A 27999-nucleotide genomic window follows, 5' to 3' on the forward strand; every position below is an offset into this window, starting at 1 on the left:
GGAAGGCTCAGCTTGCATTAAACTTCTCATTTTCTGGGAGGAATTGAACAGATGAGGTTTTCCTGCCTCCAAATATAAGAATGTTTTTGTGTTTTATCTTTTCGGGAGAAAAATTATCTAACTTTGTATCCACCACAGAATGACAACAGCCTCTTTAATTTTCTGGAAGAATGAACTGAAGCCATTAGTCAAGGCTGAAGGCTAGGAGGCCTGGAAAATTGCTACAGGGTAACATTTCCATGGACGATGGAACACATTATGGGTTCTTACTTATTTAAGTGGAAATACACACATAGATCGTACTTCCAAATGGTAGTTTACGTCACTGAAGTTTGTACTGTACACTGCCCCAGAATGTTTTATAGAAGTGGAAACTCAAAAGATTGATTGACAATATATGTTTATTCAAAGTGGTTGAAAGAAAAAAAAGATTTATTAGGTGCAATTAAACAACAGAAATCTACATTTTATTTCATTAGGTGGGGAGGATGGCTGCAGAGCTTGGAAAGGGGTCTGTGTAGTTGTGTCAGAGGAGACATATTCAACTGTCCTCTCCAATGAAGATGTGTTGCCTCTCCCCAGGAACCTGCAGGGTCATAGCGTATCTGTGCTTGGCAGTTCTTTTTATGACCAAACAAGCTTCCCACCAACGTGAAGCTCTAAGCAATAAAATGAGAAGAGAACATTTCTGAATTGCTGATCCGTGTAAGAAGTGTGCTGTATCTTCTAGTATGTTCTGAATGTAGATGTTGTTGAAACAGATTGTTACTTCTGCCTCAGTCCTTGGTGCAGATGAATAAAGAAACAATGTCAAGGACCACAGGGCTGGAGAAGGGTGGTGTAGGATCCAGGTATAAACTCAAAAAATTGGAGTCGGAGCTGTTGTGGGTAAAGGTCATACAGAAAAAAGCCCTGGGCTGCAGATCTGAACATCTCTGGAGAACAGCTCTGCTGTTCATTTTCCACGAGTTGAGCACGTGTGTTAAAATTGGACTAACACCGCTCGTATACCTCAAATGGTGCTGTGAGAATCCAATGATAACAATGAAATATTTTATTAAAAAGAGATTAAACAGCTGGGCGTGGTGGCTCACACCTGTAATCCCAGCACTTTGGGAGGTTGAGGCAGGAGTTTGAGACCAGCCTGGCCAACATGGTGAAACCCCATCTCTACTAAAAATCCAAAAATTAGCCAGGTGTGGTGGTGGGAGGCTGAGGCAGGAGAATTGCTTGAACTTGGGAGGCGGAGGTTGCAGTGAGCGGAGATAACGCCACTGTTGTCCTGTAGCCTGGGCGACAAGAGCAAAACTCTGTTGAAAGAAAAGAGAAGGGAAGGGAAGGGAAGGGAGGGGAGGGGAGGGGAAATTATAGTTTAGGAGTCATGCAGAAGGAAGGAAGGAGGGAGGGAGGGAAAGGAGGGAGGGAAAGGAAGGAAAGGAAGGAAGGAAGGAAAGAAGGAAAGAAAGAAAGAAAATTATAGTTTAGGAGTCATGCAGCTAGAGGCTACAAGATTCTGACCCTCCCTAAGCTGCTCCTAAGATCAGTGCTTGAGATATTTTACAGACCCTGCACTCAAGCTGGCACCACCCAGATTGATAAACTGGCTCATGTGATCTTGTGGTACCCCACCCAGGAACTGACTCAGTGCAAGAAGACAGCTCTGTCTCCCTTTAATTTCATCTCTGACCAATCAGCACTGCCGGCTCACTGACTTCCCCCTACCCACCAAGTTGTCCTTAAAAATTCTGCTCCCCGAATGCTCTCGGGAAACTGATTTGTGTAATAATGAAACTCTAGTCTCCTGCCCAGCCGGCTCTGCATGAATTACTCTGTCTCTATTGCAATCCCCCTGTCTTGATAAATTGACTCTGTCTAGGCAGCAGGCAAGGTGAATCCACTGGGAGGTTACATTTGAATAACACTGTCCTTATTTCAGAGCAGCTGACTGTGCTTTTTGAAATCACGCTCTTGTTAGCAACCTAACATCCCCCCAGCCCCTCACCCCCAGCCCCCATCAGTTCCTTGCTGGTCCTCACATGATCCCTTCAATGATCCCTGTCATGTGGAACTGTGTCCACTTTCTTGGGCTGCCAAGTGCTTCCTAGAAAGTCATGAGATGAGGTTGCCTGGTATCGCTACAAATTTCAGATTGGATTTAGCAAACATTTGATTTATCTAGTTATTATAAGTTGTTATTAGTATTATTTTCACTATCATATTATTTCTATTTGCTTAGGTGCTAAACTAAGTTAACTGTTTACCCCTGGAACTACTCCAGACAGTTTCAACTTGATAAAGGAAAAACTTCAGCCGAATTAAATTTAAAGGAGTTTAATTGAGCAATGAACAATTTGCGAATCAGGCAGCCCACGGAATCACAACAGGTTCGCAGAGATTCCAGTGCGTCTGCATGGTGGAAGATTTATGGACGGAAAAAGGAAAGAGATGTACAGAAAATGGAAGTGAGGTACAGAAACAGCCAGATTGGTTACAACTCAGCATTTGCCTTATTTAAACATAGTTCAGGCTGGGCGAGGTGGCTCATGCCTGTATTCCCAGCACTTTGGGAGGCTGAGGTGGGTGGATCAGCTGAGGTTGGGAGTTCGAGGCCAGCCTCACCAACATGGAGAAATCCCATCTCTATTAAAAATACAAAATTAGCCGGGTGTGGTGGTGCACACCTGTAATCCCAGCTACTTGGGAGGCTGAGGCAGGAGAATCACTTGAACCCAGGAGGCGGAGGTTGTGGTGAGCCAAGATAATGCCATTGCACTCCAGCCTGGGCAACAAGAGTGAAACTGTCAACAAACAAACAAAACAAAACAAACAAAAAAACACAGTTCAAGCAGTTGGATACATTTGATTGGCCAAAACAGGTGTAGGCTATGGTCTGTTTACATGTCCACATGCTATATAGTTCACAAGACGTAGAGAGAAATCTTTAGGCCGAACTTAAAATATGTTAGGAGGCAGCTTTAGGCTAAACTTGATTTTCAAACTTCAGGCCAGTGTCAGGATTTAGTTTAATTTGGAATCTGTGAAATTAAACAACTCTGGAGTGAACTCAAGTTAAATTCTAGATCACAGTTTCCTGAACTACTAGGTATATTCTTCACTCTGCTTACCTGGTGTAAGAAAGAATGCAAGGCCTCTAGAGGCCCTGAGGCTGCTTTTCCATCCCAACTCCAAGACTTACTGTGTCATTTTAGGCGAATATTTAACCTCTCTTAACAAACTTGTAAAATGGGAGTCATCGTACACTCTTCAAGAAATTGTGAGACAATGAAAAGAGATTAAATATGTAACAGGCCGGGTGCTATGGCTCATGCCTGTAATCCCAGCACTTTGGGAGACCAAGGCACGTGGATTGCTTGAGGTCAGGAGTTCAAGACCAACCCGGCCAACATGATGAAACCCCAACTCTACTAAAAATACAAAAATTAGCCAGGCGTGGTGGTACATGCCTGTAGTCTCAGCTACTTGGGAGGCTGAGGCAGGAGACTCGCTTGAGCCCGGGAGGCAGAGGTTGCAGTGAACTGAGACCATGCCACTGCACTCCAGCCTGGGCAACAGAATGAGACTCTGTCTCAATAAACAACAACAACAACAACAACAACCTGTAACAGTGTCTGGTAGCAAATGATCGATGCCAACCTTTTTCCTTCTTCATCACCCTTGCATAGCTTGCACCCTATCTGCTGGTGTTTCATCCTTGGCAGCTGAGAACAAAAGGTAGGAACAGCAACAAATTCAAAAGCTGAAACATCGTTTCTATGACTTGAAAAGTGTGTGTTTGGTAAGAATCAAGAGAGAGAAATACTTCCCAATTCAGAGACCAGTGTTACCCTGATACAAAGACCCAAAAAACATGTTCCAAGAAAGACAACAACAAAAGAACAGGCTGAGAGCCCTCATGAATATGAATGCAAAACTTCTTAACACAATTTTAGCAAATCCAGCATTCATGCATGATAGAAACACTCACAAACTAGGAAAGGAAGGGCATGTCTTCAGTAGGATAAAGGGCTTCTATAAAAAAAACTACAGCCAGTATAATAATTAATGGTCAAAGACTCATTTTTCTTTCTAATAGCAGGAAAGCAAAACAAATATTTCCTGTTACCATTTCTATCTATCATTATACTAGAGGTTTTAGCCAGTGCAATAAAGCAAGACAAAGAAATTAAAGGCTCCAGTTTTGGGGAAAAAGTAAAACTCTTTATTTGTAGAAAATACATTTCTTTCTTTCTTTCTTTTCTTTTCTTTCTTTCTTTTTTTTTTTTTTTTTTTTTGAGATGGAGTCTCACTGTTGTTGCCCAGGCTGGGGTGTAGTGGCGCGTGATCTTGGCTCACTGCAACTTCTGCCTCCCAGGTTCAAGCAATTCTGCTGCCTCAGCCTCCCAAGTAGCTGGGATTACAGGCACCCATCACCACACCTGGCTAATTCTGTATTTTTAGTAGAGACGGGGTTTCACCATATTGGTCAGGCTGCTCTTGAACTCCTGATCTCAGGTGATCCACTCAAACTTTTTGTGTATGTTTGTTAATTTTAGAATTAAAAAATCGAAAAATATTGACCAAGCACATATGAGAAAGGACCAAATTACAAAGACAAAAAATAATTAAATCATCAGAGCAAATGGAGAGGTTTAACGGAAGACATAGTAAAAGATAAAATTGGTGAATTACAAAATAAATCTAATAAAGTTACCCAGAATGCAGTATAGAGAGAAAAAGAGAAAATATGAAAAAAAAGTTCAGAAACTTGGAGAATACAATGACAAGGCCTGTCATATGGGTGTTGGAATTTCAGAGGAAAGAGAAAGAATAAGGCTAAGATTATATTTGTAGAAATGTTTCTAAGATGATTCCTCAGAAATAATTTCTGAGAGGCAAGGTGTGGTGGCTCATGCCTGTAATCCCAGCACTTTGGGAGGCTGAGGCGGGTGGATCACCTGAGGTTGGGAGTTTGAGACCAGCCTGACCAACATGGTGAAAACCTGTCTCTACTAAAAATACAAAAATTAGCCGGGCGTAGTGGCGGGCACCTGTAATCCCAGCTATTCAGGAGGCTGAGGCAGGAGAATCGCTTGAACTTGGGAGGCGGAGGTTGCAGTGAGCTAAGATCACGCCATTGTACTCCAGCCTGGGGCAACAGAGTGAGACTTTGTCTCAAAATAATAATAATAATAATAATAATAATAATTATTATTATTATAATTCTTGAGAATTTCTAATGAATAAGTAAATGGAATAAATAAAAAGAACCCACAGTTAGGCACCATAATGAGTTATCAAGCACCAACAACTAAGAGAAGCCTCCAAGGCAGCCACTGAAGACGATGGAGATGTCCAAATGAACAAAGATTATCTATTTTCATCACCCACAACAGAGGCAGAGCTAAAAATGGAATATTGTTAGTGGGCTCAAAAGAAAATAATTGTGTACCTAAAATACTATATGTAGAAAAAAAATATATTTTAATATTTAGAGCGCCGGGCGTGGTGGCTCTTGCCTGTAATCCTAGCACTTTGGGAGGTCAAGGCAAGCGGATCACCTGAGGTCACGAGTTCAAGACCAGCCTGACCAACATGGTGAAACCCCATCTCTACTAAAAATACAAAAAAAATTAGCCAGGTGTTGTGGTGCGTGCCTGTAATCCCAGCTACTCGGGAGGCTGAGGCAGGAGAAGTGCTTGAACCCAGGAGGTGGAGGTTGCAGTGAGCCGAGATCGCACCATTGCACTCCAGCCTGGCTGACGAGAGCAAAACTCCATCTCAAAAAAAAAAAAAAAAAAAAAAAGAATTAGAGCAAAATACGGGTGCAGTGGCTCACACCTGTAATCCCAGCACTTTGGGAGGCGGGGAGCTTGAGCTCAAGAGTTCATGACCAGCGTGGGCAACATAGTGAGACCTTGTCTCTAATAAAATTTTTAAAACGTTAGCTGGGCATGGCAGTGCATGCCTGTAGTTCCAGCTACTTGGGAGGCTGAGGCAGAAGGATAACTTGAGCCCAGGAGATGGAGGATACTAGGCTATGATTGTGCCACTGCACTCCAACCTGGGCAACAGAGTGAGATCTAGTCTCAAAAAAAAAAAAAAAAAAAAAAGAATTAGGGTAAGATAAAGACATTTTCAGTTAAAAAAAATGAGTGTTTGCCACTAGACATCCTCACTAAGAAAACTTGTAAAAAATATACCTGTATATCAGGCAGAAGGAAGATGATGCCAGATGAAGGTCAGACACACAAAAATGTAAGGATGAAAAACTGGCCAATACTTAGGTCTAAACAAACAAACAAAACAAATTAGACTACATAAAATAATCCCTTCTGCAGTTTATGTATTTTTTTTTAAGGGGCCATGCTAGTCTTCTCTGTATCGTTCCAATTTTAGGTGAATGCAAAAGTAATTGTGGTTTTTGCATTGTTGGAATTTGCTGTTTGATATTGGAATATGTTCTTAAATAAATATGTCATACATCATTTTAACGGGCATTTCTCGCTTTATTTTTTTTGCTAATGACATTACTTGCTGTTTATTTTACGTTTATTTTAGACTATGGAAATGATGTTAGACAAAAAGCAAATTTGAGCAATTTTCTTATTTGAGGTCAAAATGCAGAAGAGACAACTGGCAACATCAACAATTCATTTGGCCCAGAAACTGCTAGGGCACACACAGTGCAGTGGTGGTTCGAGAAGTTTTGCCAATAGATGCCGGCCTTCAGAAGTTGACAGTGATCAATTGAGGGCAGTCATCAAAGCTGATCCTCTTACGCTACAGGAGAAGTTGCCAAAGAACTCAACGTTGGCCATTCAATGGTCGTTTGGCATTTGAAGCAAATTGGAAAGATAAAAAGCTCAATAAGTGGGTGCCCCATGAGCTGAGCGAAAATTTTTAAAAATCATCATTTTGAAGTGTCATCTCTTATTCTACATAACAAGAACAAACCATTTCTCAATTCTATTGTGATGTGTAATGAAAAGTGGATTTTAAGTGCCGGAGCAGTGGCTCATGCCTGTAATCTCAGCACTTTGGGAGGCTGAGGCGGGAGGATAACTTGAGGTCAGGAGTTCAAGACCTGCCTAGCCAACATGACGAAACCCCATCTCTAAAAACATTAGCTGGGTGTGATGGCGGGGCCCTGTAGTCCCAGCTACTTGGGAGGCTGAGGCAGGAAACTGCTTGAACCCGGGAGGCAGAGGTTGCAGTGAGCCGAGATCGCGCCACAGCACTCCAGCCTGAGCGACAGAGCGAGACCCCTCTCCCTGCCTCCCTCGCCCCCCAAAGAAGAAAAAAGAAAGCACAGCCTTCCGTTGAGGCCTCTGGGCGATCCAGTAGGATAGGTCTAGGCGCCGACTGCGTGGGGACCACGCACGACCGTGACAGGCGCAGTCTTGAGGACACTGGCTTTGAGAGCAGCTGAGGGACTGGGCAAAGAAGGGGCTGCAGGTATGGGGGTCAGGCCAGCCCAGGGGAAGTGCGCACGGGTGTGCGGGGGGGTCATTCAGGGCCCTGACGGAGCTAAGGGGAGGATTTAGCCCTGAGTCGGCTCTGGGGTGTGGGGTGGCGGGATGGGGTGCCCTCCCCGGGGCCAGGGCGAGCAGGGTGCGGGGCTCCTGGAGGCTAGCAGGATTAAGGTCGTTTTTAGGATGAGTGAGCTCTGCAGGTTCCCTGCTTTCAACCCGGAAGGAACCTGGGCCCACGTGGGAGTGGGATTGGGGGGTGAGACCCGCAGCCCACGGAAGGGGCGCTGAGACGCGCGGCCGCGAGGGTCAGGGGTGCCCCACGGGAGCGTGCGGCTCATATTATTAGGAAGGTGTCCAGTGCGTCGTGCCCCGGCCGGGCGCCAGGTGGCGGCAGAGGCCGGTGCGGCGCAGCTTCTTCGGCCGCGGGACAGCGGTGCCCCCAGGGTAGGAGGCTGGGGCTGGGCTGGAGCAGAGCCGGAGGGAGGAGTGCGGCCAACAAAAGACCATCCGCGAGCGCCTGAACTTGGGTGTGGAGTTGTATTTTAGGATATGTTAAAAAGTTAGGAATATTAAGTAATTGGCACTTGGCCGGGAGCGGTGGCTCACACGTGTTATCCCAGCACTTCAGGAGGCCGAGGTGGGCGGATCACCTGAGGTTGGGAGTTTGAGAACATCCTGGCCAACATGGCGAAATCCTATCCCTACTAAAAATACAAAAACTTAGCTGGGCATGGTGGTGCGCGCCTGTAGTCCCAGCTACTAGGGAGGCTGAGGCAGGAGACTCCGTCGCAAAAAAAAAAAAAAAAAAAAAAAAAGGCACTTAATCCCAGACTGAAACCCTCTTTTCAGACTCTACATTAAGATCTTAAAGAACTTAGGCCCAGGCAGGCGGGTCACTTGCAGTCAGGAGTTTGAGACCAGCCCGGGCAACATGGCAAAACCTGTCTCTACTAAAAATACCAAAATTAGCCGGGCTTGGTGGTGCGAGCCTGTAATCCCAGCTACTCCGGAGGCTGAGGCAGGAGAATTACATGAACCCGGGAGGCAGAGGTTGCAGGGAGCCGGGATCAGGCCGCTGCATTCCAGCCTGAGCGACAGAGCGAGACTGTCTCAAAAAATAAATAAATAAAATAAAATAAAATAAAGAGCTTAAAGAACTTAAGAAAACACCAAATACTTCAGAGGTACCAGTGGCAATGTAATTAATGAGGATATTCAAGGAAGGTGACATAATTGCCAAGGTAAAAATAATTAAACAATTTCCAAAAGTCTATTTCAGTGAAGGAAACATTTGTCTTTAAGGGAAACATCAATGAAAATTATGTTTATGGCAAAAATGAGCCCTTTCTGCAAGCTTCATTTAGAAAATTGTGGGCATAATTACCATTTTACACAAAATAACTCTGTAGAAAGCTTTTTGAAATAAGCTTCTATTGAAATAAAATGCCAATTAATTACCCATTTAACTTATTAAATGAGAACTATAGGGTGCTAATTTTTAAATATTTTTTAAGTTGCTTTGAAATAATACCTTTTCTTTGAGACTTGAGAACATATATAGCTAATATGAACTGATGAAACAAAGATTTTTAATTACTTCTTTTATTATTTACCTATATATTCTGTATCAGTTAATTTCATTGCTTAAATTATTAATGTCTAATATGCCACTTGAAGCATTCATATTCTGAAAATGATGTAAGTTACACATGTAGGTTGGCCGAAAGTATTATATACTAGGACACAGCGGAGTTTGGGAGTGTCTGCTGCCTGTCCAGGAAGCTGCAGGTTTATGAGTTGTAAATGTAGGAGAATTCAGTTCAGTATAAATAGTTTAGCTTCCTGTTATATTAGGATAGGCAGTTAAGCTTATGTTTTTGCCATAGACAAATTATCATTATCTGTCAGGCCTACAGTTTAGGTTTTGACGTAACTCTTCAAGTACAAATGGAGAATGCATCCCCAGCAGCACTGCAGTCCTCGTTCACACCGAGTTTCGGTACAGTCAGGGGTTTTGAAGTCAGTACCACGGGAGACGCAGACGGAGGATGAATGAAAGGCACAGAAAAATCCTAAGGTAGAAATGGGGGGAACGGAAAAGCAGACAGACACTAGAGGGCGCAGGAGGAAAGTGGGTCGGAGTCCTGGAAGAGGAGGCGGGCTGGGTGAAGGAAGACAGTGAAGAGGGCACTCTGAAAAACCCATCCGAATCTTTCAGTGTAGGTAGGCACCACCCACAGCATGTTGTCATTGCAAACTGGTTCCTTCCATACGTCCCGAAAGGCTCTCCATGGTAGCTTACATCTCTCTATTTGACACTTGATGGCTTTCTTAAGGTATTTAGGTCCATTTACTAAAAATGACTCATCACTTGTTAATTAAATAAGGTTTATACATTTTTTTCATTTTAATTTCAAACATAGGAGATAAAGAAAAAAGGTGCTTGTGGCCAGGCACGGTGGCTCACGCCTGTAATCCCAGCTGAGGGGAGGCCGAGGCGGGAGGATCACCTGAGGTCAGGAGTTTGAGACCAGCCTGGCCAACATGGTGAAACCCTGTCTCTACTAAAAATACAAAAGTTAGCCAGGCGTGGTGGTCCTAATCCCAGCTGCTCGGGAGGCTGAGGTGGGAGAATCTCTTGAGCCTGGGAGGCAGAGGTTGCAGTGAGCCAAGATTGCGCCACTGCACTCTAGCCTGGGCAACAGAGCGAGACTCCATCTCAAAAAGAAAAAAAAAAAAAAGAAAAAAAGAAAAAAGAATAAAAGTGCTTGTTCACCCGTACTTTGTGCATGTCAAGTGATATTGAAAACCAAATCTGTAGGCTGTGCCTGGTGGCTGACGCCTATAATCCCAGCACTTTGGGAGGCCAAGGCGGGCGGATCACCTGAGGTTGGGAGTTCAAGACCAGCCTGACCAACACAGAGAAATCCCATTTCTATTAAAAATACAAAATTAGCCCAGCGTGGTGGTGCATGCCTGTAATCCCAGTTACTCGGGAGGCTGAAGCAGGAGAATCGCTTGAACCCTGGAGGCAGAGGTTGCAATGAGCCAAGATCGCGCCATTGCACTCTAGCCTGGGCATCAGGAGTGAAAAAAAAAAAAAAAAGAAAACCAAATCTGCAGACGAACTTGAGTGCCTGTGTAACAGGTTGTGTTGTCTGTTGTCTATTGTGTTGTGGACTTGTGTTGTCCATATGCCCTTTATGCAAGTTATTTACCAAAATAGCGCTTTTTGAATCGTGTTTTCCATTTACTATTTCATAAGACATAGTATGTATCTATATTATAAAGTTAAGAACAGCAGAAAAATGTATTTTCATTTTACAAGAATGACTTCAATTTAAGTTAGTTTTTATTCACCAAAATCCATAATGTTCCATGTGTCACAATAAAACAAAGCAGACTTTGCCAGCGTGAATCCACTTTTACTGAAGATGAGGGTCATTCATGGACCTAGAGGTTACAATAGTCAAAGTGTTCTGCACGAGAACAAACACACAGATGTCTTTGAAATGTGATGCAAAAGTGCAGACTGCTGCCTCCTACTGATGAAAAGGAAATGAGTGAGATGCTATGAGTCACTAATTGTGAACTAGTCAGTCGACAACTCCAAGAGCCCACTTCATGCTGGTGACGAGGTCCACCAACGATGGTCTGGCATGTGGGGGCCTTAGTTGAAAGACAGGAGAGGTGGATCAGAGACAGCTAGAGGAGCAGGCATTTCCCGAGTGCTGTAAAGGGGGACTCATCCCGCTAGGAGAATGTCTATTAGGGAATTCAGACCAAGTTCTGGGAAGGAATCCACAAGGAAGTCTCCGGGAGCAAGGAAGAAGGGGAAAGGAGAGGCAGCTGGGAAAATGCGAGACACACACATCCACCCCTTCCCCAAAACCCTGGCTTACACACTCGTGAGAGCCTCCCGTGGCTCAGGGAAGTCTTAGGGGGTCTTAGGAAACATCACACATTTCACTTTCATCTGTCCACCAGTTAGCTACACTCGGGCTTCCAGATCATGAATTTTTTTTTCTTTTTAAAGGGAGTCTTGTTCTATAGCCCAGGCTGGAGTCCAGTGGTGTCATCTCGGCTCACTGCAACCTCAGCCTCCCAGGTTCAAGCGATTCTCCCACCTCATCCTCCCGAGGAGCTGGGACTACAGGCACGCGCCACCATGCCCAGCTAATTTTTGTATTTTTCGTAGAGACAGGGGTTTCACCATGTTGGCCAGGCTTGTCTTGAACTCCTGACCTCCTGATCTGCCCGCCTCAGCCTCCCAAAGTACTGGGATTACAGACATGAGCCGCCGCGCCTGGCCAACAGGTGTTTCTTAAAAGCAGAAGCAGAGAGAGGGCAGGAGAGAACAAACAGGAGGGGAGGGATGTCTTCCGGACACTGGGCTCTCTCCTCAGGAGAGAATGAGGCCTGAGGTGGGCACAGGGCCCTCTGGGTGTGTAACAGGCCCAGGGCAGCCTCGCCAGCCTCCATTGCTTGTCCATAAGCAAAGCATAACATTATGTGTAAAAACAAACATCATCACAAGATAGGCCAGGCACCGCCTTGCGACAGCAGCCTTGTGGCTACTGGATGTGTGTGGTTGACCTCAGTAAGGTAGGCGCCCTTCTCTGCAGGCCTGTCCAGACAGCTCCGCACCATGCTGCTCAGGATCAGGCCTGCAGTTCCACGAACTGGCCCCCTTGTGGGTTGCCTTCAGGAGCATACCTCTGACTCAGTGTCCCAACCTCCTCTGCCCTGCCCTGCCCGGGGCCCTCATGTGCACACACCCAGGATCTGCCCAGGGCCCTCTCTGCTCAGCCCACAAATACTGCTTCGTTCCCCTGGCTGACTGGCTGCACCTCCAGGTAAAGCAATGCTCTCAGGCCCCAGCCAGGTCATTCTTTACGGGGTTATTCTATGTACTGTGGGAGGTATAGCAGCACCGCTGGTCTTTACGATGACCGGTTGTGACATGTGAGCCTCAGTCCTCGCTATATCAGGGAGTAGCTTCCTCCGACTATCGGAATCACCCTTGCCTGATGGCATCTTCTCAGCCCCGTGCTTAGTAAGTCCCCACATTCCTTTACAGGTGTTCATTTAATTCCCTTTGGGTTGATTCTCAATAGTTTCTTTCTCTAAGAGTAACCTGATTTCTGACCCATACAATGACCACTGTGGTCCAGCGGACCATTTGCCTTTCCCACTTTTCCGTCCCCAACACGCACACGCTCCACCCCCTTGCATAAAATAACAGTAAGGAAGAAGCAGAATGAAATTCCACCCCTGCATCAGCTACTGGAGTTGGGGCTGAGTTTTGTCTGATTAAGAACTGCCGGATCAGTGGCTCACGCCTGTCATCCCAGCACTTTGGGAGGTCGAGGCGGGCAGATCACCTGAGGTCAGGAGTTCGAGACCAGCCTGGCCAACATGGCGAAACCCCGTCTCTACTAAAATGCAAAAATTAGCTGGGCGTGGTGGCACACATCTGTAATCCCAGCTACTCGGGAGGCTGAGACTGGATAATCGCTTGAACCCGGGAGGCAGAGGTTGCAGTGAGCTGGGATTGCGCCACTGCACTCCAGCCTGGGAAACAAGAGTGAAACTCTGTCTCAAAAATAATAATAATAATAAAAATAAATAAAGAAATAAAATCAATCACCGGGTAAATCCCCATGGGGATGCACTGCAGAGGAACCTGGGTGTTGGCGTGGCTCCGAAGAGGACCGAGCTAGGTGTAGCTGGAAGGGTCAACAAGAGGAAGGCATGAAGGGTCGATGTCAGCAGAAATACAACCTGGACAATCACCCTGGTGGCTGTGGTATGGATTGCGTGTCTATTTTATTTATTTTGTTTTGAGACAGAGTCTCACTCTGTCGTCCAGGCTGGAGTGCAAAAGCATGATCTTGGCTCATTGCAACCTCCACCTCCCAGGTTCAAGCGATTCTCCTGCCTCAGCTGGGATTGCAAGCCTGTGCCAAGCCCGGCTAATTTTTGTATTTTTGGTAGAGACTGGGGTTTCACTACATTGGCCAGGCTGATCTCGAACTCCTGACCTCAGGTGATCCACCCGCACTGGCCTCCCAAAGTGCTGGGATTACAGGCGTGAGCCACTGTGCCTGGCCAGGTTGTGTGTTTTCTCTGTTGGAGGCCCGCCCGGCATGCGCAGGACCCTCTTTAAGGCCTTCCACCTCTGCTCCTACATCTTCCACCGGGTTTGTTACAAATAGTCCCAGATCTATTGTACATCTTCTCATACTTTTTGCTATTGAAACTTCTTACAAAGTTTTCTCACCTGCCAGAGGGCAGAGAAACAAATTGTCATGAATGTTCTAGGACCTAGAACAGAGCTTGAGGCAGGGAAAGTATTCACAATGTTGTTGGCTGCAGTCAGGAATAATAAATCAATGTTGAGTGGATAAACTAATGAATAGTTTTGTTTGGTTTTATGCCAAAAAATAGTAATCTCCTGGGTAGCCGGGTACAGTGGCTCATACCTGTAATCTCAATGCTTTGGGAGGCCGAGGTGGGAGGATCCCTTGAGCTCAGGAGTTCAAGACCAGACTGGACAACATGGTGAAACCACATGGCTGCAAAACATCCAAAAATTAACCAGGCATGGTGGTGCGCATCTGTTTTCTCAGCTACTCAGCCTACTTGGGGAGGCTGAGGCGGAAGAATCACCTGAACCTGCACTCCAGCCTGGTTGACAAAACAAGATCCTGTCTCAAAAAAAAAAAAAAAAAAAAAAAAGAAGTGATCTCCCATCACCCTCAAAGAATTCCAGATAAGAGCAACAGGTCAGCCCGATCACACTCCTCCAGGTATCTTTGAGTCTCAGGGCGGTGGTTGCCATGCTTGAGGGAGGGACGAGGAAGCTGGTTGTTTTCACCACCAGTAAGACCCTGGGAGGCCTGCCGTGGCTTTGATTGCAGTTCCGACAGATCCTTCCTTCCCAGCTGGTGCACACCCAACGCACCCCTGCAGAGAGAGCCAAGGATCCCCCCACAGGCATGTTTGTGGAGGAGCGTGCACAGTCCTAACGGGTGGCCTGTGGACTCCTGCAGGTCGGCTCCCAGAAAATCCCAGTCTTACAACCATGAAAAGGAAGTAGGATTCACATACTGTAAACGGTAGGCAGGCCCTTGGTAATGCTGGGGCTGCTAAGTTTTGAAAACCTAAGAGTTTTATTTTCTAAAGCAGAATACATTCCATTAACTTGACATCCTTTAAAAAGTTATTAAGGCCGGGCATGGTGGCTCACGCCTGTAATCCCAGCACTTTGGGAGGCCGAGGCGGGCGGATCATGAGGTCAGGAGATCGAGACCATCCTGGCTAACACAGTGAAACCCCGTCTCTACTAAAAAATACAAAAAAAATTACCCGGTCATGGGTGGCAGGCGCCTGTAGTGCCAGCTACTCGGGAGGCTGAGGCAAGAGAATGGCGGGAACCGGGGAGGCGGAGCTTGCAGTGAGCTGAGATTGCGCCATTGCACTCCAGCCTGGGCGACAGAGGGAGACTCTGTCTCAAAAAAAAAAAAAAAAAAAAAAAAATAGCTGGGCGTGGTGACACGTGCCTGTAGTCCCAGCTACTCAGGAGGTTGAGGCAGAATTGCTTGAATCTGGGAGGCAGAGGTTGCAGTGAGCTGAGACCGTGCCATTGCACTCCAGCCTGGGTGACAGAGCGAGACTCCACCTAAAAAAAAAAAAAAAGAAAAAAAAGGTTATTCCATGGAGGTATTTTAATTATGCAATAAAAGGCAGAAGCGACTTTACTGCTACAACTCCCAGAGCAATTGTTTGCATGTAGGTTTTTTTCCAGTCTCCAAGGGGTCTTGATTTTCGAAGCCACTATCACCCCAGCAAACACCTGTGAAGCTGAAGGCATCTCTTTCCGCTGTTCTCTCCCATGCACTGCCCTTGATCAGCCTTCAAAATCCAGGGTCCTTGGGGTCACCGGGCTCTGGAAGGGAGCCCACAGGTTGATCTCTCCAGTTCCACTTACCTCTCCCCCTCGTATCGTAGTATTTGCTGCCTCTCCCTTTCCCACAAAACCTGCAAGTTTCTTAAGACTGGGGGTGGGCTTTTTTTCATCATTGTATCCCATTCCCACTGCATGGCATTCCACGGTATGTGTCCCATTAATCTCAAATGAAAAGCATTCTTCTTCTTTCCCCACAGAGGCCAGTTTAGGAAACAGGAGCCCTGGCATTGTCATGCCCTTGGGGGAATTGTGGATAAGGACTGGGTTAAGGATGAAATGACTTTTTTCACTTTTGTGATCTCTGTAGGCTTCCCAGGGGTGCTGAGCACTAGTGCTGAGTGCAGAGATGAGCGATGCCGGAGACCATCATCTCCTCCACCTAACTCGGCTTCCCAGGGGTGCTGAGCACTAGTGCTGAGTGCAGAGATGAGCGATGCCGGAGACCATCATCTCCTCCACCTAACTCGGCTTCCCAGGGGTGCTGAGCACTAGTGGTGAGTGCAGAGATGAGCGATGCCGGAGACCATCATCTCCTCCACCTAACTCGGCTTCCCAGGGGTGCTGAGCACTAGTGGTGAGTGCAGAGATGAGCGATGCCGGAGACCATCATCTCCTCCACCTAACTCGGCTTCCCAGGGGTGCTGAGCACTAGTGGTGAGTGCAGAGATGAGCGATGCCGGAGACCATCATCTCCTTCACCTAACTCGGCTTCCCAGGGGTGCTGAGCACTAGTGGTGAGTGCAGAGATGAGCGATGCCGGAGACCATCATCTCCTTCACCTAACTCCATTTGGGCTCCTCGGGGTACTTTTTCCTTTTCCCCTCTTTTTTTCTTCTCTCCATTCTAGGCTCTGGGTGCTTTTTCAACTAGGTCCTGACTTCTGGATTTCTGTGTTATCTCTGTATTGTCCAATTTTAGCAAGAGTCCTGCTCAGCCAGTTCAGCTACACCCCCGACCCTCGATATCTGACAGGTTCCTCATCCTCCACCCTCCGCCAGGCCACGTCTGATCTCCCTGGCCTGCCCTCTGCAGGTCCTGTGAGGTTGGCTTAACCAGAGTCCTCCCTCTGATGTCTCCTCTTAGTAAGTTTCCATCCAGTGACCTTCCACCTTCTCCTTAGCTATAAATACCCACTTTTTCTTGTTGTATTTACAGTTGGGACCAATCTCTATGCCCTTTTGCAAAGTGGTCCCTACTCAAGGTCCCTACAAAGGGGTCCCTTGAGTAAAGATCATGACCCTGCTTGACTAAAGCCTTCCTTATCGTCTTTAAGAAGTGTCATGAATATATATTTATATATATATATATATATTTCTTGAGACAAGTTCTCACTCTGTCGCCCAGGCTGGCATGCAGTGGTACGATCACGGCTCACTGCAGCCTTGACCTCTTGGGCTCAAGCGATCCTCTCGCCTCAGTCTCTCAAGATGGGACCAAAAGCACTTGCCACCACGCCTGGCTAATTTTTTTGAAAAAATAGTCAGGGTCTCATTATGTCGTTCAGGCTGGTGCCCAACTCTTGGGCTCAAGAGAGCCTCCTACCTCGGCCACCCAAAGTGTTGGGATTACAGGTGTGGGCCACTGCACTGGGCCTGAATTTTTTTTTTTTTTTTTTTTGAGACTGAGTCTTGTTCTGTTGCCCAGGCTGGAGTGCAGGGGCATGATCTCGGCTCACTGCAACGTCTGCCTCCCAGGTTCAGGTGATTCTCGTGCCTCAACCTCTCATGTAGCTGGGATTACAGGCATGTGCCACCATGCCCGACTAATTTTTGCATTTTTAGTAGAGAAGGGGTTTCACCATGTTGGACAGGCTGGTCTCGAACTCCTAAGCTCGAGCCACCCTACTGCCTTGGCCTCCCAAAGTGCTGGGATTATGGGCGAGAGCCACCATGCTGGCCGGTATCTATTTCACAGAAGCCTTTGATGATATGCTAAGAAAAAGGGGTGGATGGTTCATGCTTCCTCTTTTTAGACCACATAGGGTAAGTTCCTGACATTGTCACAGCATTTGTAAACTGTCATGGCATTGGTGGGAGTGTAGCAGTGAGGACGACCAGAGGTCACTCTCGTTGCCATCTTGGTTTTGGTGGGTTTTAGCTGGTTTCTTTACTGCAACCTGTTTTATCAGCAAGCTCTTTACAACCTGTATCTTTTTTTTTTGTCGGAGACGAAGTCTTGCTTTTGTCCACCAGGCTGGAGTGCCACGGTGAGATCTCGGCTCACTGCAACCTCTGCCTCCTGGGTTCAAGTGATCCCAGGAGGGGATCTGGGATTCTGGGCTCTCAATTCCATTCTATTAGACTGTATATCTGTCTTTGTCAGTGCCACCATTTTCGTTACTGTAGCTTATTCCTTATTATTTTTTTTCTTTTCAGAGATGTGGTCTCACCATATTGGCTTGGCCAGGTTGGCCTTGAACTCCTGGCCTCAAGCATTCCTCCTGCCTCGGCCTCTCAAAATGCTAGGATTTACAGGCATAAGCCACTGCACCTGCTTTTTTTTTTTTTTTCTCAAGAGACACAGCCTCACTATGTTGCCTCAAACTCCCGGGCTCAAGTGATCCTCCCACTTCAGCCTCCCAAGTAGCTGGCATTTTAAGCATACACCACTGCTCGGAGCTAATTACTGTAGCTTTGTAGCAGGTTTTGAAATCAAGAAACACGAGGCTTTCAATTGTATCCTTCTTTTTCAAGAACGACAGTTATTTGGGTCCAACTACATAACTTTTGAAAGACTCAGAAACTGGCAGAGCTAAGCCAGACCAACAAGCAAGTTTTCAACATCAAACTTCCTTTGCTTTTAATGCTTTTTAGTGATTTTAAGGAGTGTGAAGGTTAATTTTATGTATTTCTGGGTGTGTCTGTGAGGGCATATGCAGAAGAGATTAGCATTTGGGTTGGTTGACGGGCTAACGAAACTCCACCCTCAGTATCGAGGGTGGGCATCATCTCACCGGTTGAGGGCCCACACAGAAGAACAAAAAGGGTTGAGAAGCGCCAATTTGCCTTTTTACCTCAAGCTGTGACTTCCCTTGTGCCCTGGACATTGAGCTCCTCCTGGTTCTTAGCCCTTTGGCCTCAGAATGAATGACTGTACTGGCATTCCTGGTTTTCCAGCTTGCAGACGGGAGACATCTCAGCCTCCATAATCATGTGAACCAATTCTTTAATAAGTCTCCTCTTTTATATCTTTTATATAGCTTATTGGTTCTGTTTCTCTGGGGAACCCCAACTAATATAGTGAGGTATTCATTCATTCCCTTAAAAAATAATTCGGGTCTTCCCCACTCAAGATGGAATGAAACGGACTGAATTTAACCCAATTTCTAAAAAAACTAGACAGAACACATGAAAAAATCACTGTCATGACTTTAGACATCAGACAGCAAGGAACATTGATGTCTGAGAGACAGTAAACAAGTGGTACCTTCGGGGCTGATGCCTATCTTCATTATCTTTTTTTGAGACAGTCTCGCTCTGCCGCCCAGGCTGGAGTGCAGTGGCACAATCTCGGCTCACTGCAACCTCCGCCTCCTGGGTTCCAGCGAGCATATCCAGCTTATTTGTTGTATTTTTAGTAGAGACGGGGTTTCACCATGTTGGCCAGGCTGGTCTCGAACTCCTATACTCAAGTGATCTGCCCACCTCGGCCTCTCCCTCAGTGCTGGGATTACAGGCATGAGCCAACATCCGGCTGTAAGTTTATTATCTTGATTGGAGTGGTAAGTAGTTTCATGGGTGTATACATATGCTAAAATGTATCAAATTGTAAGTTTTAGATATGTGTGGCTTGTTGCATCTCATTTATGCCTCAGTAAAGCTGTTAAAAAATTAGAAATACTCTAGATATTATGAAGAAAGAGAGAAGCCTGCAGCACCAACCAGGCAGAAATATAATAGCTACAAGTGGTCCTAACTGGGGAGGAAGGGAAGTTTACCTTTGTATCCTTTACCATGTATCCTTTTATCAATAAGAGGAAAATTGATTAATATATTAGATTGAATCAAGACTTTATTTTTTTTAGACAGTCTCTCTGTGTTGCCCAGGCTCGATGGAGTGCAGCGGCAGGACCTCGGTTCACTGCAACCTCGACCTCCAGGCTCAGGTGATTGATTTCCCACCTCAGCCTCCCTAGTAGCTGGGATTACAGGTGTGCACCACCATGCCTGGCTAATTTTTGTATTTTTAGTAGAGATGGGGTTTGCCATGTTGCCCAGGCTAGTCTCGAACTCCTGGACTCAAGTGATCCACCTGCCTCAGCCTCCCAAAGCGCTGGGATTACAGGCATGAGCCACCAGGCCTGGCCAACTTAACTGAAAGTGACTTCAGGACATCAATATCTAAAAGTCATCAGCAAAATAATGGGATTTTTGTGAGTTTTCATCCTGGAAAGGAAGGACACCCACTGAAGGGGCTGAGCGAGGTGGTGGGAGTGGCTCTGATGTTGTACTGTCACCAGCAACACTCACGGGAGTCTCATCAATGATCAATGTGCTCGCTACTTGCCACTCAATAGATGCTTTACATGTTTTATCGCGTAAAATCCTCACAAAATGCTGGTATGTTCCATCTTCTCTTACTAGAGAAGGGGTCAACAGGGAAGAAGCAGGGAAACTGGTGGGGACACCAATGAAAGGGAGCAGGGCGTGGCACCCCAAAATATGCCATGTTGGCATATTAGTTATTTCAAGCTGAAGACAGTTTACATAGCTATAAAAAAGAATTAAGTCATGTCCTTCGCAGAAACATGGATACAGCTGAAGGCCATTATCCTAAGCGAATTAATGCAGGAATAGAAAACCAAATACCGGTCCAGCGCAGCGGCTCACGCCTGTAATCCCAGCACTCTGAGAGACTGAGGTGGGCGGGCCACCTGAGGTCAGGAGTTCGAGACCAGGCTGGCCAACATGGTGAAACCCTGTCTCTACTAAAAATAAAAAAAACCCCAAAACAAACAAAAAAACAAAAACAAAAAGAAAAAAACAATTGCTGGGTATGGTGGTGCATGCCTGTGATCCCAGCTACTTGGGAGGCTGAGGCAGGAGAATTGTTTGAACCCAGGAGCCGGAGGTTGCAGTGAGCCAAGATTGTGCCACTGCACTCCAGCCTGGGCAACAGAGCAGGACTCCATAAAAAAAAAAAAAAAAAAAAAAGAAAAGAAAAAGAAAACCAAATACCATGTTCTCACTTATAAGTGGGAGCTAAACACTGGGTACAATGGACATAAAAATGGCAACAAGAGACACTGAGGACTACTAGAGGGGGAGAGAAGGAGGGGGTTGTAAGTACCATGCTTACTGTAATACCTGCATGATGGGATCATTTGTACCCCAAACCTCAGCACCACACAATATACCCATGGAACGAACCTGCACATGTGCCTCCTGAATCTAACATAATTGAATTTTTTTTAAAGGCACCTGAATTTCTGAAATCCCTATTCTGACTAAAAGCAGAACCTCCATAAAGAACTCAATTGTCATAAATCCCCTCCCAAAAGCAACTCTAATCTCAGTGGTGAAGAGCCAGCACCACACTGAGACATTGACACAAGACTATCAGAGACGGAGTCTCGCTGTGGTCTAGGCTGGAGTGCAGTGGCGTGATCTTGGCTCACTGCAACCTCTGCCTCCCGGGTTCACGTGATTCTCCAGCCTCAGCCTCCCGAGTAGCTGTGATTACAGGTGCGCGTACACCACCATGCCCGATTAATTTTTGTATTTTTAGTAGAGATGGGGGTTTCACCATGTTGGCCAGGCTAGTCTCGAACTCCTGACCTCAAGTGATCTGCCTGCCTTGGCCTCCCAAAGTGCTGGGATTACAGGTGTGAGCCACTGCACCCGGCTATCTTATTTTTCTAAAGGGCCCCTTATCTTTCCAAAAAGTCATTTTATTTTCTACAAGTGTCCTTTCTCCCCACTCCTCTTCCCTACTAAGTTAGGTATCTAGACCTTAAGGCCGGGTGTGGTAGCTGCCACCTGTAATCCCAGCACTTTGGGAAGCTGACGCAGGCGAATCCCTTGAGGCTAGGAGTTCGAGACCAGCCTGGTCAACACGGTGAAACTCCCATCTCCACTAAAAATACAAAAACTAGCTGGGCATGGTGGCGCATGCCTGTAATCCCAGCTACTAGGGAGGCTGAGGTGGGAGAATCGCTTGAACCCGGGAGGTGGAGGTTTCAGTGAGTGGAGATTGTGCCACTGCACCCCAGCCTGGGCAACAGAGAGAGACTCTGTCTCAAAAATAAATAAATAAATAAATAAATAAATCTCAAATTCTAACGACCCCTTTGAGCACTCCCGTGTGCATACCTGATGCACATGTGAATAACTTCTGTTTGCTCTTTTCTTGCTTCTCTGGGCTGGAGCCTGGAGTTCAGCTAGACGGAGATGCAGGTAGACAGCCATCAGCACAGGGCCGATGTGTGAAGGCAGGTAATTGAGATCATCAAGGAGTGGGTACAGCAGAAGCCCAGGAATGATCCCTGCAGTGTTAAGGGGCTGGGAGGAGCTAGGGACCAGCCCAGGAGGCTGAGGACAGCAGTGAAGTCAGAGCCGGAAGTGGCGAGCCGCCAGATGCACCTGGGAGGTCGGAGGACGAGCATGGACCACTGTGTTTGGCAGTGTGGAGATCACTGTGACCTTGAAGTCACATGGGTGAAGGTGTGACATGGGGTGGGTGGGAGCCTGATTGACATGGGTTAGAGAGAATGGATATAAGGACGTTTCTCTCCTGGTTGTGGCCAACTAGGTGAATCAGACTAAGGCTCCTACTGAGGGCAACGAAGTGCTCACAAGTTAGTTAGAAACTGTCAGCCCAGGATCCGAGAGAAGACAGGTTAAGTCAGCATTTGTAAGCTGTTTTTGCCTAGGTGTTTTTTTTTTTTTTAAATCCAGACTACTAAGGCTGGGGGCCCTATGAAACTGCTAAGCACTGAGAGCTGAAAACCCCATGGACTGTACCTAGGAGGAAGGGCAAACTGGAAGCAAATCTGCTCCTGCACTGGGCTATGGCCATCCTTGAATCATGGGGTGGTGCCGGCTGTCCAGTCTGAAATAAAACAAAGGTGGTCACAGAATGCCAGGAACCTGGCAGAAGCAGATGAAAATCTTTTATTGGAGAATATCATCTTATACCTTAAATTACTTTTTAAGTAATTTTCCAAGTCATTTCTTTCATATATCTAGACAAACAAGAAGGCAGGGCAACACAAGAAGAATCAGCACAAATTAGAAACCAAAAAAAAAAAAAAGACACACAGGCACTCCCTACAGAATTATCAGGAATTAGGTTCATGAGGTTAAAATGAAATAGAACATATATATATATATATATATATATTTTTTTTTTTTTGAGTCTCACTCTGTTGCCCAGGCTGGAGTGCACGATCACAGCTCACTGCAACCTCCACCTCCCAGGTTCAAGTGATTCTCCTGCCTCGGCCTCCCAAGTAGCTGGGATTACAGGCATGCACCACCATGTCTGGCTAATTTTCGTTATTTTTAATAGAAATGGAGTTTCACCATGTTGGTTAGGCTGGTCTTGAACTCCTGACCTCAGGTGATCCACCTGCCACAGTCTCCCAAAGTGCTGGAATTACAGGCTTGAGCTACTGTACCCGGCCTAGAACATTTTATTATTATTATTTTTCTTGAGATGGAGTCTTGCTCTGTGGCCCAGGCTGGAGTGCAGTGGTGCGAATCTTCACTCACTGCAAGCTCTGCCTCTCGGGTTCAAGCCATTCCCCTACCTCCACCTCCCGAGTAGCTGGGACTACAGGTGCCCGCCACCATGCCCGGCTAATTTTTTTTTTTGTATTTTTAGTAGAGATGAGGTTTCACCGTTAGCCAGGATGGTCTCGATCTCTTGACCTTGTGATCCGCCCGCCTCGGCCTCCCAAAGTGCTGGGATTACAGGTGTGAGCCACCGTGCCCGGCCAGTATATTTTAAAAAATTACTTTGGGCTGGGCATGGTGGCTCATGCCTGTAATCCAGTACTTTGGGAGGCCAAGGCAGGTAGATCACTTGCACCTAGGAGTTCCAGACCAGCCTGGATAACATGACAAAACCCCATCTCTACAAAAAATACCAAAAAAAAAAAAAAAAAAAATTAGCTAGGTATGGTGGTGCACACCTGTAGTCTCAACTACTTAGGAGGATCACTTGAGCTTTGGAGGTCGAGGCTGCAGTCAGCTGTGTTTGCGCCGCTGCACTCCAGCCTGGGTGACAGGGTAAGACCCTATCTCAAAAAACAAAACAAAGCAAACTCTGCTGACGTGAAAAAGAGTCAACTAAAATTCAGGAACTGAAAAATCCAAAACCCAACTTAAGAACTTAATAGGTATGTTCAACAGTAGTTTTGACATAGCCACAGAGCAATTTAATAAACTGGAGGATAGATCAGAATAAACCAGAACGAACGATAAAGGAACAAAAAGATAAAAACCTCATATAGAATAATTTTTTTTTAAAAGTGTAAGATGATCCAACATGTGTGTGTTTTTTTTTTTTTTGAGACGGAGTCTCGGCTTGTTGCCCAGGCTGGAGTGCAAAGGTATGATCTGGGCTCACTGCAAGCTCCGCCTCCTGGGTTTGAGCGATTCTCCTGCCTCAGCCTCCGGAGTAGCTGGGACTACAGGCATGCGCCACAATGCCTGGCTAATTTTTGTATTTGTAGTAGAAACAGGGTCTCACCACGCTGGCCAGGCTCGTCTCGAACTCCTGACCTCATGATTTGCCTGCCTCGGCCTCCCAAAGTGTAGGGATTACAGGTGTGAGCCACAGTGCCCGGCCTCCAACACATGTTTAATTAAACTCTAGTAGGTTAGAAGAGAGATATTTGGGCAGAAGCAGTATTTGAATATATAATAGCCAAGAATTTTCCAAAATTGAAGACATACAACAATCCAGACACTCAGTAAGTCTAATCAATTCCCAATAAGACGAATAAAAAGGCATATACATCCAGATAAACTATAGTAAAATTGAAGAAAATTGAAGACAGAGAAACACTTAAACGCAGTCAGAGGAAAATATTTATTTCAAAAAACAGCAGAAAATATGGATGCACATAACAGTGGAGTTACATCATTAATGTGTTGAAAGAAACGAGCTGACAACCTAGAATTCCATACTCAGAAAAAATATTTTTTAAGAATAAAAATTAAATACAAATATTTTCAGACAAACACAACTGAGATGATCAGCAGACCTCCTCTAAAGGAAATAATAGTAGGGGTACTTCAGGTGGAAGGGAAATGACCCTAGAAAGTCACAGAAGGATAAAACACAATGATAGTGGCATATATGTGGGCCATCAAAATGAACATCAACAGTACTGTGTCTTGTGAAGTTTTAAATACAGAAATAACTAAAATATCCAATAAACTGTTTTAGCATTGTCTGGGAAGAGGAAAAAATACTAATTTACATTAGACATTGATAAGTCAAGAACGCATGTTATAATCTCAAGTGTACCACTAAAAGCTATTTATATGTATAAATCAGCTATATATATGCAAATATACATAGCTTTATACATAAATATATGTAATATAGTGTATATATAAAATACTCATATATATAAAAATATATATAAAGCTTTTTTGAGACAGTCTCACTCTGTCACCCAGGCTGGAGTTCAGTGATACAATCTCAGCTCACAGCAACCTCCCAGGCTCAAGTGATCCTCTCCCCTCAGCCTCCTGAGTAGCTGGGACCACAGACACACGTCACCATACCTGGCCGTTTTTTTGTATTTTTGATAGAGATGGGGTTTTGCCATGTCGCCCAGGCTGGTCATGAACTCCTGAGCTCAAGCAACCCACCCACCCTGGCCTCCCAAAGTGCCGGGATTACAGGTGTGATCCACCTCGCTGGAATGCAGTGACGCTGTCTCTGCCTACTGCACTCGCTGCCTCCTGGGCTCGAGTGATCCTCCCACCTCAGCACCCCAAGTAGCTGGGACTATAGGTGCTCACCACTATGCCCAGCTAATTTTTTGTAGAGATGGGGTTTCACCATTTAATTTAATTTAAAAATTACTGATAATTTTTAAACATCAGTAATCCAAAAGAAAGCAAGAAAGGCGTAAAGAACATAAAACATATGAGTCAAATGGAAAGTGTGAAAAGACATCTTTACATGTAAAAATATCAGTACTTTGCATAAATGTACCAAATGATCTAGCTCTTAAATTTTGCTGTACATCGTCAAATTACCTGCAGATCTTAAAAAACAACAATAACGAAACACCAATGCATGGTTCCCATTCCTGTCAGATTTATGGATGTGAGGTATGAACAGGGCATTGGGACTTTTAAAAGCTTTCCAGATCATTCTAAAGTGCAGCAAATTTGGGAGCCACCACTCTCATTCAAGATAAAGATTATCAAATTGGATTTAAAAAAAAATACTTGGCCAGGTCCGGTGGCTCATGCCTGTAATCTCAGCACTTTGGGAAGCCAGGTAAACTCAGGAGATTGACACTAGCCTGGGCAAAATGGTGAAACCCCATGTCCACAAAAAATTAGCTAGGCATAGTGGTGAGCACCTACAGTCCCAGCTACTTGGGGTGCTGAGGTGGGAGGATCACTTGAGCCGGGGAGGCAGAGAGTGCAGTAGGCAGAGACAGCGTCACCGCATTCCAGCCGGGGCAACAGAGCCTGACCCTGTCTTAAAAACAAACAAACAAACAAACATCATACACACACACTTCTTTTTTTGAGACGGAGTCTCGCTCTGTCGCCCAGGCTGGAGTGCAGTGGCGGGATCTCGGCTCACTGCAAGCTCCGCCTCCCGGGTTCACGCCATTCTCCTGCCTCAGCCTCCCGAGTAGCTGGGAATACAGACGCCCGCCACCACGCCCGGCCAAGTTTTTTTTTTTTTTTTTTTTGTATTTTTAGTAGGGATGGGGTTTCACCGTGTTAGCCAGGATGGTCTCAATCTCCTGACCTCGTAATCCGCCCGCCTCGGCCTCTCAAAGTGCTGGCATTACAGGCGTGAGCCACCGCGCCCGGCCACACACACACTTCTTAAACTCACTTAACTCTAAAGGTACACACAGGAAAGAAAGCTGGTGGTGTTATTTACATATGAGGCAAAGTTGACAATAGCAAGCATTATTAGAAATAAAGAGGAACATTTCACAATTGGAAATATTCAAAAGAGCTGGAATACATTTGTCTTATTTAAGGCATAGAGAGAAGACTCGCATGGCTGTAGACAAAACTGATTGGAGGATGACCAGGTACTAGGCTGTATCTGTAATCTAGGTGAGAGAGCATGGCTCAGGGGTAATATACGTGGGAATGGCTTGGATTTGGTTTATATATTGGAGCTAGATCTTTGATGAGATTGAGTGAAGGCTGCAGTGGGAAAGGGTAAGCAAGAATGACTCCTAGACACCGCTCAGCAATAAAAAGCACTTAAAATATTTATCAATATATAGATGAATTCCAACATAATTATGCTCAATGAACAGCCCCCACTTCCCTAAAGATTACGTGCGATACAATTCCATTTATATAAAACACCAAGAAAAACAGGTTGGGCACAGTGGCTCACATCTGCAATCCCAACACTTTGGGAGGCTGAGGCAGAGGGTCAATTGAAGCTAGGAGTTCCAGAGCAGGCTGGGCAACACAGAGAGACCCCATATGTTTAAAAAAAAACAAAAAGCTAGACATGGCGGTCCTCACCTGCAGTCTCAGCTACTCGGGAGGCTGAAGCAGTTGGATTGCTTAAGGGCAGGAGTTTGAGGCTACAGTGGGTCCCGATCGTGTCACTGCACTCCCGCCTGGGTGACAGAGCAAGCGAGACCCAGTCTGTATAAAAAGATATTTAAAAACTCCAGGAAATTCAAACTATAGTGACAAAAAGCAGATGGGTGGGAGGGGGAGGAGGGAAGGAGGGAGAGAGGAAAGGGTTACAGAGAGACGGGAGGAACATCTTCACTGTTGATTGTGATGATGGTTTCACAGTGTATACATGTGTCAAGATGTATCAAACTGCACACTTTAATTTGCGCCACTGCACTCCAGCCCAGGTGACAGAGTAAGGTCGCTTTCCCCGGGCTCGGCCGGCCTCTCCACCCGGCGCTCGGGTGCTGCGCTGCCTGTTCCTGTTGCCACTTCGTGTAAGTTAGCGCAGGCAACAACACACAAGACCAGCACACGTGAAATGGTCCATTTTAATGCACTGCCCCCAGGGAAAGGAACATTACCGGCTTCTGGCCATGTCGTCTTCCCAGTCCCAGATGGCGGTTCCGGGTTTGGGCTCCGAGGCCCTTCGCAGCACTAGGGCGGCGCGAGTAGGGCCGCCCTCCGAGCCATGCTGCGGTCCGAGGTGACGCGCGCACGCGAGTTCGCGGACACGCACGAGACGCCCGGGCCACGGAGGCGCGGGGCTGGCCCAGGGTCCCCGCCAGGCCGAGCTCTAGGGCTGCCGGCCCGGCCCGGTGACCCCCGCGCTCCCCTCCGTCCGCTAAGGCCCCGCGGCGCCGCGCATGCGCCCCGCCGCCGCCCCCGCCCCCACCGCGCCCGCGCCCGCGCCCAA

The 27999-nt window shown here is 46.2% G+C and overlaps 1 long non-coding RNA gene and 1 pseudogene across 1 annotated transcript, besides 6 other annotated features; both read right to left on the reverse strand.

Annotated features, from left to right (window-relative positions):
- Window positions 1–383: 383 nt before the first annotated feature.
- ZNF236-DT (ZNF236 divergent transcript) lies at window positions 384–27947 on the reverse strand. Its single transcript, NR_040024.1, has 3 exons — window positions 27668–27947; window positions 22407–22494; window positions 384–1310 (listed from the first exon to the last, which is right to left on the reverse strand). It is a non-coding gene; the product is annotated as a ZNF236 divergent transcript (long non-coding RNA).
- RNU6-346P (RNA, U6 small nuclear 346, pseudogene) lies at window positions 6316–6426 on the reverse strand (annotated as a pseudogene).
- Window positions 7928–7977: a silencer, noted in NCBI's record as "silent region_9558". NCBI's record gives its function as "represses an Ori minimal core promoter by ATAC-STARR-seq in GM12878 lymphoblastoid cells {active_cell/tissue: GM12878}" and the evidence as "EXISTENCE:reporter gene assay evidence [ECO:0000049][PMID:35858748]".
- Window positions 17243–17332: an enhancer, noted in NCBI's record as "active region_13513". NCBI's record gives its function as "activates an Ori minimal core promoter by ATAC-STARR-seq in GM12878 lymphoblastoid cells {active_cell/tissue: GM12878}" and the evidence as "EXISTENCE:reporter gene assay evidence [ECO:0000049][PMID:35858748]".
- Window positions 26014–26093: a silencer, noted in NCBI's record as "silent region_9559". NCBI's record gives its function as "represses an Ori minimal core promoter by ATAC-STARR-seq in GM12878 lymphoblastoid cells {active_cell/tissue: GM12878}" and the evidence as "EXISTENCE:reporter gene assay evidence [ECO:0000049][PMID:35858748]".
- Window positions 27491–27570: an enhancer, noted in NCBI's record as "active region_13514". NCBI's record gives its function as "activates an Ori minimal core promoter by ATAC-STARR-seq in GM12878 lymphoblastoid cells {active_cell/tissue: GM12878}" and the evidence as "EXISTENCE:reporter gene assay evidence [ECO:0000049][PMID:35858748]".
- Window positions 27611–27720: an enhancer, noted in NCBI's record as "active region_13515". NCBI's record gives its function as "activates an Ori minimal core promoter by ATAC-STARR-seq in GM12878 lymphoblastoid cells {active_cell/tissue: GM12878}" and the evidence as "EXISTENCE:reporter gene assay evidence [ECO:0000049][PMID:35858748]".
- Window positions 27791–27980: a silencer, noted in NCBI's record as "silent region_9560". NCBI's record gives its function as "represses an Ori minimal core promoter by ATAC-STARR-seq in GM12878 lymphoblastoid cells {active_cell/tissue: GM12878}" and the evidence as "EXISTENCE:reporter gene assay evidence [ECO:0000049][PMID:35858748]".

This window comes from Homo sapiens, chromosome 18 (assembly GCF_000001405.40).
Source record: "Homo sapiens chromosome 18, GRCh38.p14 Primary Assembly".
NCBI lineage: Eukaryota > Metazoa > Chordata > Mammalia > Primates > Hominidae > Homo > Homo sapiens.